This window comes from Homo sapiens, chromosome 5 (assembly GCF_000001405.40).
Source record: "Homo sapiens chromosome 5, GRCh38.p14 Primary Assembly".
Lineage (NCBI taxonomy): Eukaryota > Metazoa > Chordata > Mammalia > Primates > Hominidae > Homo > Homo sapiens.
Window position 1 is genome coordinate 66,937,265 of NC_000005.10, and position 18,776 is coordinate 66,956,040.

At 37.7% G+C, this 18,776-nt stretch overlaps 1 protein-coding gene across 16 annotated transcripts in view, besides 1 other annotated feature; it reads left to right on the top strand.

Moving 5' to 3' along the window:
* MAST4 (microtubule associated serine/threonine kinase family member 4) overlaps nt 1-18,776 on the top strand; it is a 573,201-nt gene that overhangs the window by 340,872 nt on the left and 213,553 nt on the right. The window lies entirely within an intron of this gene.
* Nucleotides 8,717-9,011: a silencer, noted in NCBI's record as "tiled region #14441; HepG2 Repressive non-DNase unmatched - State 22:ReprW". NCBI's record gives its function as "represses a minimal TATA promoter and a strong SV40 promoter by Sharpr-MPRA in HepG2 cells {active_cell/tissue: HepG2}" and the evidence as "EXISTENCE:reporter gene assay evidence [ECO:0000049][PMID:27701403]".

The window sequence follows — 18,776 nt, forward strand, 5'->3', positions numbered from 1 at the left end:
AGGAGAACAAAATCCCTCTCACCAGAAGGACTAAAGGGTACCTCAGTGCACGCTCATATGTACTGCTTCATTTATTGCACTATCAGACTGTCTTCCCATCTCTGAATCTCCAAGACCTCAAAGTATATGGCACCTAGTAGGCATGGAACAAATGTTAATGGTGTAATGGATCGGGCATTTATTTTGGTGCATAGTAGGATAACATTTTCTTCCCCTTTTGCTAACCACTTTCTCCTCCAATTACTTAGTAATCCTCCTCTCCTCACAGAAATTCTTTCAGGTTTTGTGGTCTGTATTTTCTTTAGCCATTACTACACTATTTTTAACAAGGGTAGACATATGTTTCTATATTTGCTCTTCTTTTACAGGTTTTTATGTAGTACGTTCATCTACTCATTTTTTTCAACTATTCATTTTTTTCTAGGTAAGTTAGAATCATGGTTGAGGTTCTCCCTTCATGCTGTATTTCCCTAAGGTGCATATTAAAAGTATACATTTTACTTAGGAGAAAGTGTCATCCTGTGGCATCTAATTTTTTCTTCCAGAAACATTTTTTATATTCAGTCTAATGATTCTGGTATTAGTTTCTCTTTCTAAAGTGTTTTCTTTTCCTTGTAGTTAACCCATATTTTTTTATGATTATACCCTTTATTTTAGTTTTGTTTTTATGTTAATAGTTTCTTCTTTTATACCACCTTTTCTTGTTGTCATTGGCAGCAAAACTGGAATTTTATATTTTTCTGTGGGATCCATTCAGGGCACTTAGCTGTTATATTTATATTAATTCTAATAGTTTTTCAGTTGAGTCTGTTTGGTTTTCTAGATACAAAATTATGTACAAATAATGATAATTTTTCACCTTTTTCAATACTTTTACCTCTTTTAGAACTGTCATATTGCCTAGAATCTTATTCCAAATCAGCATTACATAATGATTATGGTAGATGTTTTTTCTTATAATGCTTTTACTGCCTTATTAAGATAAATCTAGACTGTTAGTGTAAAATATGCTCCCTAGTATAAGAAATATTAAAATTTAAAATGCCATATAACTGAAAATTGGTTTTTAGTTACATGGTAATTTTGTCACATAGTGCCTTGTTCATATTTAAGTGAAAGCTTCTTGCTATCCAGAAAGAGAAAATGGCTTCAAGATATGAAAAAATTGCCGGAATTTAATGGACCTGTATCTTTTAATCAGAAGAACACTGTCTAATTGGCTTTACAATGGTAATGATTGTGTTCTATTCATGAGTTTAAAGAGGAGTTGGGCAAAGGTCCACCAGGCTGTCTGTTGAAAACCCAGGGAAAACCTGGGAACAGGGCCGAATCTGAGATACACCAAGTTATACCTGAACCGTAACCAGCCTTTACTCAGCTCAGCCATGACTGCACTAAGGTGATCAATTCTCTATCTGCCTATATGAGGAAGAGTAACACCCTCTTGTAGAAAATAACATCCTTTAGAGCATGTGTTCTCAGTAGGCACAAGATTGGTTCTTCCAGTGTGAAACAAATATTAAATGGTACAGTGATTTGTGGACCTTCAAAAACCCACAACACATAAACAGATACAACTGGCAGGTTGGGGAAATTAGTAACAAAAAGTCTATTAAAGTTCTTTATAGAGATAATAGTGAAAAATAAAGGTTGGGGAACACTGATTTAGAGCCTTTTCAGTTTTTTAGTATAATACCTGATAATTAAAAGTTATAGATATTCTAAAAGACAAAAACATGTGACCAAAAGACAGTAGACAGACAATATAATGTGCATTTGCAATTTTGCTCCAGAGATTGGAGTTAGAACATATGGACTTAAAAATACATAATTAATGTTAACTTATATTAATCAGTTAACAAAATAGGTAAAAGAAAAACAGATGGAAATTTGGAAAATTTCATCAGAGAATTGAAATTTGTGAAGAGAGAAACAAATAGAAAACTGAAAAGCATAGTATCTGAAATTAAGAACTCTCTGGATGGGTTTAAAGTTAATTAAACACAGTGGAAGACAGGATTAGTAAACTGGAAAACAGGTTAATAGAAAATAAACTGAACCAGAGAGGAAATAATATATACACGTATTCCACTTGCAAACTGTTTGCAAAGTACCATCTTTTTCCATATCCTTGCCAAAAATATGTATTTTAACAATGTTTATATTTTGCCAATTTCTGTGTAAAGTGATATCTCATTGTTAATTTAATTTGAATTTCACTAACAACGTTTTACCTTTTCATTGTATTTTGCTAGTTAGTTATTCTTTTCTGAGAAATACCAATTCATATTTTGCCATTATGTATCTGGGGTCATTTGTATCAATTTGTAATTGTTTTCTGAGGTAATCTTTTGTCATTTCTGTTACAGATAAATTTTCTAGATCTATATATAAAACATTTGTGATGAATATACTGTTTTATTTTACAACAAATCTGGATTTATTTGTATACAAGATACCTCAGAGATATTGCTGGGTTTTTGTTTTTTTTTTTCCCCAGACCACTGCCGTAAAGTGACTGCAATAAAACAAATATCACAATAAAGCAGCACACAACTTTTTTGATTTCCCAGTGCATATAAAAGCTATGTGTAAACTATACTGTAGTCTATTAAGTGTGCAATAGCATTCTGTCTACAAAAACAATGTACATTAGCCAGGCTGTGGTGGCTCATACCTGCAGTCCCAGCTACACAGTAGTCTAGGGCAGGAGGATGCCTTGATCCTAGGAGTACGAGGCTGCAGTGAGTTATGATCATGCTCCTACACTCCAGTCTGAGCAACAGAGCAAGACCCTGTCTCATAAATATATATGTATGTGTATATATATGTATATATGTATATGTATGTATATACACACACACATATCTTAATTTAAAAATACTTTATTGCTAAAAAACAAGATCCTGTGAGCCTTCAGCAAGTCATAATCTTTTTGCTGCTGGAGGGTCTTGCCTTGATGTTGATGGCTGTTGATTCATCAGGGTGGTGGTTACTGAAGGTTGCGGTGACTGTGCCAATTTCTTGAAATAATTCAACAATGAGGTTGCCACAGCAGTGGACTCTTTCTTTCACAAAAGATTATCCATAGCAGTCAATGCTATTTGGTAGCATTTTATCCACAGTATAACTTCTTCCATAATTGGAGTCAGCCTTCTCAAACCCTGCTATTGCTTTATCAACTAAGTTTGTGTAATATTCTAAATCCTTTGGTTTTATTTCAACGTTGTTCATAGCATCTTCATTAGGAGTAAATTCTACCTCAAGAAATAACTTTCTTTCTCATCCATAAGAAGCAACTCTTCATCCATTCAAGTTTTAACATCAAATTTTAACAATTCAGTCACATCTTCAGGCTCCATTTCTAATTTTCGTTCTATTTCTACTATATCTGCAGTTCCTTTTTTCATTGAAGTCTTGAAACCCTCCCAGTCATCTGTGAGAGTTGGAATCAATTTCTTCCACACTTCTGTTTAGGTTGCTATTTTGACCTCTTTTTATGACCTTTTTAGAAGGTTTTCAATGTACTTTGCCCAGATCCATTAGAGGAATCATTATAGCCGCCATAAACTTAGGAAAAATATTTCTTAAATAACCCAACTTGGGAATCAGAATTACTCCTTAATCCATGGGTTGCAGAGTGGATGTTTTGTTAGCAGGCATGAAAACAATATCAATTTCTTTGTACATCTTCAATAGAGCTCTTGGGTGACAAGGTATGTTGCCAAAGAGCAGTAATATCTCGAGAGGAATCTTTTTTTCTGAGCACTAGGTCTCAACAGTGAACCTAAAATATTTCATAAATTATGCTGTGAACAGATATGCTGTCATCTAGGCTTTGTTGCTCTATGTATGGAGCACAGGCAGAGCAGATTTACCATAATTTTGAAGGGCCTTGGGATTTTCAGAATGGTAAATGAGCATTGGCATCAACTTAAAGTCACCAGTTGCATTAGTTCCTAAAGAGGGAGTCAGGCTGTCCTTTGAAGTTTTGAAGTCAGGCATTGACTTCTCCTCGCTAGCTATGAAAGTCCCAGAAGGCTGTATTGTCTACATTGATAACATGTTGTTTAGTGTAGCTAGATCTTCTGGATATCTTGCTGCAGCTTCTACATCAGAACTTGCTGCTTGCACTTTTATGGTATGGAGATGGCGTCTTTCCTTAAACTTCTGCTAGCTTCCATCTTACACAGCTTCCTCACCCCTCTTAGCTCTCGTAGAATTGAAGAGAATTAAGACTTTGCTCTAGATTAGGCTTTGGCTTAAGGAAATGTTGTGGCTGATATAATCCTCTATTCAGACCACCAAAACTTTCTTCATATCAGCAAGAAGGCTGTTTCACTTTCTTACCATTTGTGTGTTCACTGGAGTAGCACTTTCAATTTCCTTCAAGAACTTTTCCTTTGCATTTACAACTTCGCTACCTGTTTGGTGCAGAAGGTCTAGCTTTCCGTCTTGGCTTTTGACATTCCTCATGAAACATAATCGTTTTTAGCTTTTGATTGAAAATGAGAGATGTGTGTCTCTTCCATTTTCACTTGAACACTTAGAAGCCATTGTAGGGTTACTAAATGGCCAAATTTAATGTTGTTGTGTCTCAGGAAACAGAAAGGCCCATGGAGAAGGAAAGAGATGGGGGAACGGCTGGTCGATCAAACAGTCAGAACACATAGAACAATTATCAGTTAAGTTCATTGTCTTATATGACACTGTTTGTGGTGCCCCAAAACAGTGATAAAAATAACATCAAAGATCATTGATCATAGATTATCATAAAAGATGTAATAATAATGAAAACATTAGAAATATTGGAAGAATTACCAAAATGTGACATAGAGGCATGAAGTGAGTACATGCTGTTGGAAAGATGGTGCTGATAGATTTGCTCTATGCAGGGTTACCATACATCTTCAATTTGTTAAAAAATGCAATTTTCTGCAGAGCACAATAAAACTAGGTATGTCTATTCTGAAAAATTATACTGGAAGACTATGATAAAAAATTAGCTTTCACAACATATTCTAAACAACATTGATAAGCATATAGTTATTATGTTCTATATTCCAGACTGTCATACATGTTTGTATGTGCATGTTTCTGATAGTACCCATGGTAATTTAGCTTGATGACAAAAGCTGTTGGGGAATCCCAGTTAGGTTTCTTCATGACCACCTCCTTGGTCTTGGATTGATTATGTCAGGTTACTTTATGCTTAAAAATTAATATAACCATTGTCTGACTTGCAAATTTAAAAGTTATTTAGGTATAACTAGCTAGTGGCTGTCATGCAGTGTGAAATATCACTGTTGATGCTGATATGAGAATGTGGGTGAAAGAGAGAGTGAGCATGTTGTACCCTTCCAGATCTAAAGCTGTTTGATTATTGGCATACATGTGTACAAAAAAATGTTTATTGATCTCTTCCTGTCATGATAAAGTAGCCATGATCGATGTCATGCTTCCAATGTTTGAATAAGGGTAGTTATGTCATGAATGATAGTATAACATAAGGATTAGTTCTTTTGCCTTTGGAGGTTGACTTTCTTAGTCCATTCAGGCAAGTATAACAAAATATATAAGCTGGGTGGCTTATAAACAGAAACTTATTTCTTACATTTCTGGTGACTGAGAAGTCTAAGATCAAGGTGCTGGAAGATTCTGGTGAGGGGCTCTTTCCTGTTCATAGATGGCCATCTTCTTGCTATGTCTTCTTCATATGGCTGTAGGTAGAAAGGGGTGTGGCAGCTCTTTGGGGCCTCTTTTATAAGGTACTGATGCCATTTATGAGGGTCCTGCCACATGACCTAATCACCTTCCCCTTCCAAATACCATCATATTGGGGGGTAGGATTTTGGTGAAATGCAAACATTCAAACCATAGCACTGGCCATCTCCATTCTACCTCTTATCAACCCACTTAACATTAGAAAAGTTAAGTATCCCTTCTATGTCTTAATTTCATTACCGGTGAAATGAGGTTGATAATAGTATCTACCTCACTGAATTAAATGTGATAATGCACATTGGGTGGTAGCCCAGAGCAACCATTTATAAATGGAAGCTATGGTTAGTATTTCTAGCAAAAATGCATGTTCTCATTGTGTTTAGTGTACAGGTTATTAAACAAGGCCCTGAGATAAAGGAATATTTAAAGGTGCTTCCCCATTTTATAAAGTTAATTTTTTTTAAGCAAGCATTGAGTACAGGGAAGTTTCAGGAGCCTAAATAGATCTTTTCGTTATCCCATGTACTCTATAGCATACAGTTGAAATCTATTTATATAAAATTAAGATAGTAGCAAATTTCAACAGGCTCATTTGTTTAATGGAACAGCTTGGTGAATGCCTTTCTCCAACTTTTGTGTTTAAGCAAGAATTATTACTAATAGTACTTAAAACTTTTTAGTATTTATTTGAATAATTTTATTATCTCTTCAGGAACACTAGGATATCAATTACAGTGCTGGGAAATGTGTGTTCAGCGAAAAAAAGTGCTGCCTTTTCCCTGTGGTAGCGTTCTGAAAGGTTTTGAGGCTACACTTGATGAGCATGCCTTTTTTCCCCCAAAGAATCAAAGTTAGAGCATGATAAATGAAAGAAATTTCAAAATCATTATGCAAGGTGTGTTTTGTATTCACTGGTCTTCTCTGATGAGTCAATTTCCATTTTTAAGGAATCTCAAGCATTCTTATAACAATCTTGGGTTTGACATAGAGGTTGAGACTTCTTAAAGTACAGGTAACCATCTCCCCGTTCTTTGCTCTATTGATTTGTTAGAGTTGACGTGTAAAATTCCTAGTTTTAAAACATTTCGAGGGTATTTTCTGATTTTGCTATTTTTAAAAAATAGTTTACAATTCCTATTTCCTTCTGAATATCTTTGGTGCAGCTATTTGCTTTCTGCATGGCCACATGAGTTGCATTGCATCTGTTTCTAAAATAATGTGTTTAATTTTCCACCAGTACTGCAAGTTGGTCCTGAATTGCCTTATATGATAAACAAACGGGTTTGTAAAGTTGCTTCAAAGGTCACCATCTTCTACCCTTTGGTGGTGGTTCTGAGTACTTTTAAAATAAAAATCTTCAAAGCCATCTTTAGATGATACCCTTGCTTTCAATCATGATAATGAAATTAAAAATGTTATTAAATTGGTAGTAACTTGGCTTTAAATTGAAAGTATATTAGCATAATAGAAGGCTCTAGAACTTCTTTCTAAATAAGACTTTCTTTGCAAGAGACAACATTTATAAAGCATCTACCAGAGTGGCATAATAAATCTCAAATCTCTTGCCTTATTTTTCTTTTTCGCTTTCTAATATGTACTTTGTATTACTTCTGATGTCTCATCTCCCTGTAGTTATAGAAACACATAGACTTATACCTAGGTTCTGTTATTAGTTTCTTATTGCTGTGTAACAATTTATTATAAACTTAATGGCTTAAAACACCCATGTATTATCTCACAGTTCTGTCAATCAGAAGCCTAGACAGGGCTCAGCTGGGTCCTCTTCCAAGCTCTCCTGGCTGTTGGCAGAATTCATTTCCTTGCGAGAGTAGAAGCGCTTCCATGTTCTTTGGGGTTAGCAGTTCTCTGATGCTTCCCCTTCTTTTAAAGGACTTACCTGATTAGGTTAGAGCCACCTAGTGTAATCTCCTTTTTGATTTAGTCAAAGATGATTGACTGATAGCCTCATTTTGGGAGTCATATCCCATCCTTTCCACAGGATCTGCCCACAGTTCACAGGACCGTGGGGATTATACAGAGTGTCAGTCATTGGGGAGGTCTTAGAATTTTGCCTGTCATATCCTGGGTTTTAAAACTTTTATATGGGGAAAGTCATTTAAGGAAGAAAGTAAATGAACATCTGTTGACTAGGTTGCTAGGTACAATGGTATGACTTCCATTTTATAAAGGAGTAAAACTTAAATTTGCAGAGACTGATTGGGTCAAGATATCACTGACTTAAAGGGCTGAACAGACATTCTTAGAGGCAAAAGCTCCAGTTGAGTGAGAGTCTGGTTTTTAGTTGGTTTTTCCTAAGCAGTTAAAGTTTCAAATGAACTCTTTTTAAACAGTTCACATTCCGGGGTTGTTTAAAACCTATGAACATATTTCCCCACGGAAATCATGCTGTAAATGATAAGTCCTCAGTTGGCTCCACAAAATCCAACTTTACACATACTATCAGGAAAGTTATCTTCAGATTCATCCAGAACGTCTTGGGGCCTAATCCCTGTGCCCCATGAAGGTAACTGAGGTCTTACAGCTGCCTTTTGTGGGGACTGCCCCTCAGAGATGAAAGTAAACTATGACTCATCCAGGGACAAGGAGAAGCGCATGCCGTGCCCTTAGCTGTCTCTGTGTCTGCTGGAGGTAGGTGAAGGCACTGGCTGCATCCACTCTGATTTGGTAGGGAAAGCTTCTAACACTGAGCATTGGGATCATATTTAATTTGTCAATTAGGTAATTGTGGTATACCCTATATACAGAATCTTCCTGGCTGAATGATCTTTTATACAGAATCATTATGTAGTGATAGTAGGTTTTTAAATGGTGCCCATTAAACTTGCACATAACTTGCACAGCAGGTTATGTGCTAAACTATTTAACGAGCATTTTTATCCTTCAGCTAGTTTCTTCAACTATGTCCCTTTGAATCCGTATAAAGAGATGGCTTATAAGGTTTATTTCAAACAGATATTTGTGTGTTAGGTAGAAGGGTTTCAAAATAACGCAGCCTCTCTCTTTCTCTTCTTCCCATCTTGAGTTCTCTCACGTTCTTCCTGTCTTTAAAATGTGCTTGAGAAAAGAGGGAGAAACATGAACAATTCCCAGGGAATCCCCACAGGAAGGAGGAACCACTCTCAAACTGAAATTATTGAAGAGAACCATCATGCTGCTCATGACTGGAATACAGAGGAGCTGTGTGTGTGGAAGGTCAGGCAGAAGGTGACTGAGAAGGAAATAAGTCAGAGGAAGGAATATTTGGTTTTATTTTTCTTTAACTCTTTTTGTTGCTTTGGTCTCTATTTTTATATCTCAGTTTCATGCTTTGTGACTTAGATGAAATTATTGAACTTCTTTATAGCTCTTACGAACAAGATATTGATGTTTGCCTAAATTTAGACCTTTCCTAATTCTAAATTTTAGTTTCTTTTCATTTACCGCCTCAGGTAAAATAAATAAATAAATGAATTCTATTCCCTTTTGATCTTCATTTCAGGTTATTCAAAATGTATTGCTGACAGCCTTCAAAGGAATGATACAGGCATTGGATGTTTTATTCAGTATATTGCTGCTCTGCCCTTTTGTGCAGCTATTCAAATTGCTATAGAAGTGCCTGAAAGGTTGTCATGGGTTTTGCCAACAGTAAATGACAAGCGGTAATATATATGGTGAATGTTCCAGGTGTATTGGAAATTACCATTGCAGCTTCTATTTCATGGAAGTTTGTTTTTCACGTAATGCTAAAAGTTCAGTCTAAATTCTTTAGTCAGATAGATTCAGGTCTTATCTCACATGTAATATGTGGAGTAAAAATAATTCAGAATGCATTACGAGTCGGGAATGCATAAAAGCACATAGTAACTTTTAAAACAGATTGTTTTTAATAATTCTGTGCCTTTGGGACAAATGACATTCTTTTTTTTATGCCCTCCCCACTTTAGACGTCCACTTTCTTTTTCATTGGCTGCAGTGAAACTTTGGAAGATCATTACCTTAGTGCCCCCTAATGAGATGTAAATAAAATGAATGATTACAGCTTGATTATGGTCCAGTATTTATGAGGCTCCTGGTAACTTGCTGCATAAATTTAAGTATGTGAGTAAATTCTCTTAGGGACAGTCAATGTGAGAGTATTTTATTTTTCTTTCTTATTTTTTATGATGTACTAATTCTTTTCACCTCTGGATTCTTTATTGTTGTTTCTGCCCTAGAAGAAGTAGGACCGTGGAAAATGAGTATATTTTTTCTGCATGACTTTTATGGTCCCTGTAGGGTTTGGACCAGACCTGAGTTGCTGCCTGATCCTGACATGTCAAGGAACACTGAAATAAAGGAATATGGTTTGTTTTCTTTTCTTCCTGTGCCCTATCCATCTCCCTACAAAGAAAAATGTATGAACATTTCTCTCTTCTGCTTTTTCTTATAAAGCACATCAAGTTTCAAGTCTGAGCTTTTGTGGAAATCACAGTGTAATGGGTTAACAGTCTTCTCTGATTCTTCGAGGTTTTGAGTATTTTAAGCTTTTTACTTTGCCATCTAGATATTGGAAGCTAACCTCCCACTCACTTTACTACTCAACACTGCTTCTCTGTGCAGCCTCTTTCTAGAATTGTTATTATAGTGAAATATCCATAGGAGTCTCTTCCTTGCCTTATATAATCCTCCTCCGACCTGCAAAGCATTTCCCCGTGGCAGGAGACAGATTTTTCCTAAAGCTTGCACATGTTGGCAAAACCTGGTTGGGTAGTGTATCCCGGACCCCACAGGAAAAGTAAGTTGATTTTTTATTTAGATTTGAGATCATGGGTATATTTTAATTCTTAATGTTGGGTCTCAAGAATTTCCCCTCTTTAGAGTCAGTAGCTGATGATGTGAGGAGGCAGCATGACACTGAAATTGGTGAAGATACATTAATACTTATTTAATAATCTCACATTGCCTGGAGACTTTTTAAAAAATCTAATCTCTTTCCCCTGCAAAATACAAAGGAAAATAGAGTGTCTGGATGACAGTATTCTCATATAAAGTGGACTGTCTCTCTTATGCACAAGCCAAGTGTCACAGGTTCCATTCCATCCTGCATACCCTGCATATAAAGAAGGAGTGGGTGATGAAGGAGGCTGGCAGCTTAAAGACTTAAACAGGCTGAGGGACTAAGTTCCCAAGTTGGCTGAGCAGTTAGAAAAGGAAAGGCAAGACGAGAACCCGTGCCACATTCCGAATTGGATTACCTGTTACGGAGCCAAAGACCGAGTTCCAAAGGACCAAAGTTGGAGTGTGAGGATGATAAGATACGTGTGCAATCTGATTCCAGATTTTAGATTATCTAGAGAGGGGGAAGGCATTACTAGCGTTCATATATAAAGTCTCTGTGTAGTATCATCAGAGATTGCTCTTCAGTAGCTCTCTGCTTGTTTGGTTACCGAATTATCCAAACATGTGCTCTTATACTTCTTTTCCACCTCCTGAAACCCAGAGCCTTTTGTTGTCCCCCTCCTCGCCAAGCTTAGGTAGGGCACAGCAAAGTCCCTCAGCCTGTCCTTTTCAGGGCAGCTTGCACCATTCCTCCACAGCACTTTCCAAGCCACATAACTACTCTTGGTACTCACAAGCCATGTCGCTGGGCTTTAAAATGCCATCTGTGTCCACTGGTGCGGCTGGAGCTGAGTAAAACATGGCAAGCTGGACTTCTTAAGATGGCCCAGAGTAATTTGAATTTCTCTAGTCAAGAATGGGTAAATAAGCCATCTGGAAATAGTCTCCCAGTTGAATTTAACACCCCTTGTGACTATACTTTTAGTAATCTTTTTTAGCTAATTAGCTCTTTGCTTTGTCAAGTATTTATTGAGTGCCCACTCTGTGTGCGAGCATGGTGTTAAGCACTTAATATAAAACAGTGACTATAAAGATGTGTGACTCCTGCCTTCATGGGGCATTTAATTCACACCCCCCCAACAATTTTTTAATAGCGCTTTTGAAAACATTGCATAAAGTCAGATATATATATATTAGATATACATGCCAAAAGGTAAGCTGGAGTTACTTGTCAAAGAACTATGAATGCAAACAATAACAAATAGACAAAAATATTAAATTAATGAATACATTACCTGGAAAAATACTACTGGAATTGTTTTGTCAAACAACTTGTCCATACTATGATCTGGAAAAGCACAGCTTACTACAGTAGAAAGAATGCAGTAGTTGGAGTCAGAACTGATTTCAAGTCCCAGCTCAATCACTTATTAACTGTTGATGTTGGGCAATGATATGGTTTTGTCCTGTGTCCCCACCCAGATCTCGCCTTGAATTGTAATGATCCCTACATGTCAAGGGCAGGACCAGGTGGAGATAATTGCATCATGGTGGTTTACCTCATGCTGTTCTCATGGTAGTGAGTGAGTTCTCGTGAGATCTGATGGTTTTATTATATAAGGGGCTTCCGCCTTCACTCGGCACTTCTTTTTCCTGCTGCAATGTGAAATAGAATGTGTTTGCTTCCCCTTCCGCCATGATTGTGAGTTTCCTGAGGCCTCCCAAGCCATGCTGAACTGTGAGTCACTTAAACCTCTTGTCTTTATAAATTACCCAGTCTCAGGTATGTCTATTAGCAGAGTGAGAACAGACTAATACAGGCAAGTATTTAATTATTTTGGTCACAGATAGTCTGTAAAAATTATCCCTTTAAGATTCTGTGTTTTCTGTTATACTTAGGGTTCTATATTTTCCCATGGATTTGTCTTTTAATCCTATTTTTCGTGGTTCTGATTTAATTTACTTTTAATTTTCTACTTTGCTTCATTTGTTGGTTTAACAAAAAGTTACTGAGTAGTCTGTGTATGTGTGTATTCTTATGTATTGCCTCAAATCCTAGATGGCATGATGCTGAGTATAAATAACTTTTTAAAAGAGGGAGTATATTTGAGAAGTGTCTGAAAGCTGTAAAACCTCTAAAATAGATTCTTTGCTTTACGAGAGCTGCAGCTTGAGACTTTGAGGAATCCCCAAATTCACAAGCTTGGAGAATTTTCACAAACTGCAACCAGCACATAGGAAACAGAACATGATTCTTGCCTTAGAACTCCCCTTTGAAAATCCTGCCACTACCTCACCCCACCCTACCCCATATTCCACCACCTTAACCACTGTCCTGACTCTAATAGCATAGGTTGCTATTAGAACTTGAAGTCGTATATATAAGTAGAGTCATAGGGTAAGTAAACTAGTATACTTTTTTTTTCTTTTTTTTTCTTTTTTTTCTTAGTTGTGGGGAATATACCTAACATAAAATTTTTGTTTTAGCCATTTTTAAGCATTCAATTCTGCGCCATTAAGTACATTCACAGAGTTGTGTAAGTATCACTGCCATGCATCTCGAGAACTTTTTCATCTTTCCCAACTGAAACTTTTTCCATTAAACACTAGCTTCCCATTTCCCCTTCCCCTAGTCTCTGACAATAGCCATTCCACTTTGTCTCTATGAATTTGACTACTATAGACAAGCCAAAATAGAGTAGTACCTACCCAGAGTAGCTAGCATAACAATATTTGTCCTTTTGTGTCTGGCTTATTTCACTTAGTGTAATGTCTTCATAGTTCATCCATGTTGTAATATGTGTCAGAATTTCTCTTCTTTTTAAGGCTGAATAATATTCTATTGTATGGGTAATACCACATTTTGCTCACCTATTCATCTGTTAATCGAAGCCTGGCTTGCTTCCACTTTTGGCTATTGTGAATCATGCTGCTGTGAAAATGGGTATATACATATCTGAGTTCCTGCCTCCATTACTTTGGGTATATACCCAGAAGTGGAATTGCCAGATCATATGGTAATTCTATGTTTAAGTTTCTGAGAAGCTGCCATACCATTTTCTGCATCGGCTGCACCATTTTACATTTCCGCAGTTATACTTCCTTTTGCTCAACATTATGCTTAACATTATGTTTGCAAGGTTCATCCACATTACTGCATGCAGTTGTGGGTCATTCAGTCTCATTGCTGTGTAGTGTTTTGTCATGTGAATGTGCCATAATGTACTTAGCCATTTTACTATTGATAAGCACTTGGGTAATTTTCAGTTTTGGGTTATTACAAGCAGTGCTACTATTAGAGGGCATTTAAAAATTAGGCCTTAAGGTTCTGTAGCTTTGTTATTTTCTTATGGAAAGGAAAGCATTAAATCGAAGACATTATTTGAACAACAACTCATAAAGCTTTCAGGTTGTATCACTTGGTAATTTTTGTAGCACAAGTGATGGAATACCCAACCCATGTTATCCTAAGAAAAGGGGACTTGCTTATCCATGACTGGAAAGTTTAGTTGTCCAGCTTCCAGCAACACTGACCTTATTCCTTGCCTCCTGGCCACATCAGTCCAACCTCTGCTTTTGTCACATCTTCTTCTCTGTATCTCTTGAATCCCTCTTTTATCTTATGGGAAATCATGATTACACTGGGTCCACACAGACAATACAGAATAATCTCTTCATTTCAAGACTCTTAATCACATCAGCAAAGCCCCTTTTGTCATGTAAAATAATACATTCACAGGTTCTGGGGATTGCTACATCTTTAGAGAGGCCATTATTTTGCCTCCCATGATATGTGTGTGTGTGTGTGTGTGTGTGTGTGTGTGTGTGTGTGTGTGTGTGTGTGTGTATTTTTTCCCACTGATGAACCAATGATAATGTTCCTCTCCTTTATAACTTTGTGCTTTTCTTTGGAGTTAGTAATTGGGGTGTTTTTCTCCTTTTTAGATTTTATGTAGCTGTCATGAATCCTTTCCACACTCTTCAATAGAACTATAAAACTCTTGTTGGCACTTTCTATGTTATCAAACATATCAGATAACCTGTAAGTTTTTTTCTCAAAGCCTCTTCCTGGACCCTCCAGTTTTTCTGTTCCAAGCTGGACGGTGTGCTATCTAGGTCTCCTGCATGGAGGCAGTTTTTGGTGATTTTCCTCACCCTCATTAACATGGTAATTCCCTTCGTCTCTCTCCATGTTCCGCCCTTTCTTTGATCTCATGCATTTCTCTTAAATGGTTTATTTCATTGTTCATGTGGAGCATATCCTGCAGGAGCTTCTTGAGAAGAGGTGTACAGGTGGCAAACTTGACACCTTAGATGACAATGATGAACCCTCTCTGAGGAGAAAGGGACCCATGTTGTCTGGGGAAGGAAGAGAAGCAGGAGAGAAGGATGAGAGAGAGACAGATGAGGAAGAGAGGAAGATGTTTCCACCCTGATCTTTTCTCATAATGCCTCTGTAGGCCAAAGTCATGTCTTAGTAATTTTGCTTCTTTAATGCCTTGCCCACAGTGAACACTTAAGATATGTTCTTCAGTGAATGAACACATACAGATAGCCTCATATTTCCTGCTCTTTGAAGTGGTAGAGAGTCCTTAGAAGCCATTAGCCAGCTTCTTATAAAGACCTGCTTGAAAAAATGAACTCCAGTTATTAAAAGATGCCACCAAAATTATATCTGTTTCTTACCTCCTCATCATATAGAACATAAATCTGATCCCCTCCCCCGCCATTAACTTTTATTCTACTCTCCCTGCTTCGCCAAATGATACAATCCTTGAGACCCAAACTTGCATATGGTTCATCTTTGCATCCCTGATAATGCCATGCATTGTATAATTCTCACTAAAGATTTGTTCAATGACTTCATCACACACACGGCCTTTCTGATGTGCATTGAATGAGCCTGCCTTGTTCCACCGTCAGAGACTTTACAATCGCTGCTCCCTTTGCCTGCAGCACTCTTTCCCCGACTCTCATGACCTGGCAATTTTCATCCTGCAGATGAAGCTTGCCCATCATCTCATCTTCCCAGCCCGATCTAAAGATACTGTCTGTTCCCTGACCCACTGCCCATCATCCTGTGATGGGAGTACCTGTCATTATCAGAAATGACCTTATGTGTGTCTTTATTTATTTTCCCTGATAAATGGAGACTCTATAGATGTACCTTTCTGTCTCATCCACTGCTGTATCACCACACCTAGAACAGGGGCTGCTGAATAAAAGTGTATTAAATGAACGATATGAGCTGTTGAGACAATGACAATGTTAATAACTTCATCTAACCTTTGCTGGCTTATGTGAGTGGTTAGAGAGCACATACACATTCACCTTCTTTGAAAGTTTTCCTCAACCATGCACACTTTTTAAGAATATATAAATAATTGAACATTCAGGGAACACGATTGCCCTAAGATTTTGTGTGTTCCTTATGGATACCTTGGATCTAGAAAGGAAAGAGGTGAGAAAATATTGCATTGGGGAGATCTGTCCCTTGAATTTCATCTGAGAAATCAAAACTCGTACGTTTAAATCCTGTCTGCCCAGGTGCCTCAGACACATACAACTGGCTTTACTCTTATGTCAGCCTATTTAACTGTGCCCTCAAAATAAGCAGTGGTGAAGCTTATTTTGTATGTAGTTTGGATCATATTGCTTTTAAGAATTCCATATCTAGGTTGCTGTTCCTGTATGGCATGGAGACCCTGATAATTAGGTTTCTGTAACTTAGAGACAGTCTGAGGCTCTGTCTATAAAAAGCCATTCCTCCTGAAAACGGGACAGAAGTATATACATACACTAAAGTAATATTCCCCGAGAAGAAATGTGGCATGAGAAGCAAAACAGTTCGAGTGCTCCTCCCTTGCCCCATTTAAGTGCAATGAAATCAGAATCGACATGTTAAAACTAGTCAGTGATGCCGAGGGTCCTGCAGAAATTGACCCTTGTCTCTAGAGCAAGATTTCTAGAATAGCACTTTTGATTTGGGGCTGGATAATTCTTTGTTGTGGGGCAATATCTGTGTGCTATAGGATGTTCAGCGGCATCCCTGGCCTCTACTCACTATATGCCAATAGCAGCAACCCCCTTATTCCCTGCTGCAAAGGGTAAAACCAAAAATGTCTTCAGACATTGCAAAACCTGGTTGAGAACCACTACTCTAGAGAATGCATAGAAGAGATCTAGCCTTAAACCATTCCTCTGGGTTTGTTTAAACCCCATATTTCCACCATTAATGCAGCAGTGGTAGGGAAGACTCCTTAACTTCCACCTTGTCATATATATATGTCTTCTCAGTCATATCGAAGTACTGTGGTTTAAACCAATGTCCCCCCACAACCCACCCACCTCTACTGATAAAAATATATCACACTACTCTAGTGTAGCCTTAGGTTCCTCTTCTGCACACACATGTATACAGCTAGTCCATGATGTATGCCTTCCAGCCGGCAAAGGTCTTTTCTGGGTCTTCATGTGGTATCTGAACATGTCCCAATTCTCCATTTTCTTAAGACCACTCTTTGAGGTCATTGCTCTGACACTGTTTAGTTATGTAACACTGTGGTGAGCTACAATTATTTAAACAATGAAAAATCTCCTGAATTGGTGGTTTCTGCAATATAGGGAGGGTCATTCATTCATTTTCAGCACATATTTATTGAATATTTATGTGGGCTGCTCTTGGCACTGGGATTAAACAGCTATAAACAACACACAACACACTTGCCTTCTTGGAGCCTACACTCTGATAGGGGAAGACAGACAATAAATAAATATATGTTAGGTGAAAAATACATCAAGATGAGAAGAAAGCCTGGGCGTGGTGTCTCACACATGTGATCCCAGCACTTTGGGAGGCTGAGGCGGGAGGATCACATGAGCCCAGGAGTTCAAGACAACCCTGGCCAACATGGTGAGACCCCATCTCTACTGAAAATATAAAAATTAGCTGCGTGTGATGACATGTGCCTGTAGTTCCAGCTACTCAGGAGACTGAGATAGGAGAATCGCTTGAACCCTGGAGATGGAGGTTGCAGTGAGCCGAGATCACGCTACTGCACTCCAGCCTGGGCAACAGAGCAAGACTCTGTCTCAAAAAAAAAAGGGAGAAAGGCCAGATATACTGGCTTATGCCTGTAATCCTAGCACTTTGAGAGGCCGAGGTGGGTGGATCACTTGAGTCCAGGAGTTTGAGACCAGCCTGGGCAACATAGTGAAACCCATCTCTACAAAAAATACACACACAAAAATTAGCTGGGCATGGTGGAATGTGTCTGTGGTCCCAGTTGCTCAGGAGGCTGAGATGAGAGGATTGTTTGAATCCAGGAGGTGGAGGCAGAGGTTGCAGTGAGCCGTAATAGTGCCATTGGACTCCAGCCTGGGCGACAGAGTGAAACCTTGTCTCAGAAAAAAAAAAAAAAAGAAACACTAGATGAGGGAGCCTTGTGTTTTCAAATAGGGTCAAGCAAGATGTAAAGGAAGTTCAGGAGCAGGATGTTTGGACATGTCAGGGGAGAAGAGTTCTAGGCAGTGGGAACTGTAAGTGCAAAGGGCAAGAGGCAGGAGTGTGCTTGGTATATGTGAAGGGTAGTGAGGAGTGTCAGGGAGGGAGCTGTAGAAGAGGGGATGTGGAGGTGTGGTATGAACATACCATATGGAGCTTTAGAGGCCTGGTGAGACTCTTCTTCAATTTTTTATAAGACAAAATTTCAAACATACACTGAAGTACAGAGAATAGTATAATGAACCCCTTATTTGCCTATTACCCAAGTTTAATAAATAGTAACCAAAGCCACTTTAATTTTATATACTCTTACTCTCCCTCCCCAGATCATTTGGAAGCAAACTCTATATGTATTACTTCATATGTAAATATTTTTGTATGTGTCTATGAAAGGGAATTAAAGGTGATCATGGTCCAATATTATACTTTAAAATGATTGGCTAGTTTTATCAGATATCCAAACCATGTGTGTATATATATGCACACAAGTATATACATATACTCAATATATATTTCAGGCTGAAGTGTGTACATACACAATATCATGCTGATTATTTCCTAAATGCCTGATTATGTGTGTGTTTGTTTATAGTTTTATTAGTTTGATATCAGGACCCATTAAAAAGTTCATATATTACAATTAGTTGATATGTCTTTTAAGGTTTTTTTTTTTGTTTGTTTGTTTGTTTTTTGGTAAAGACAGGGTCTTGCTATGTTGTCCATGCTGGTC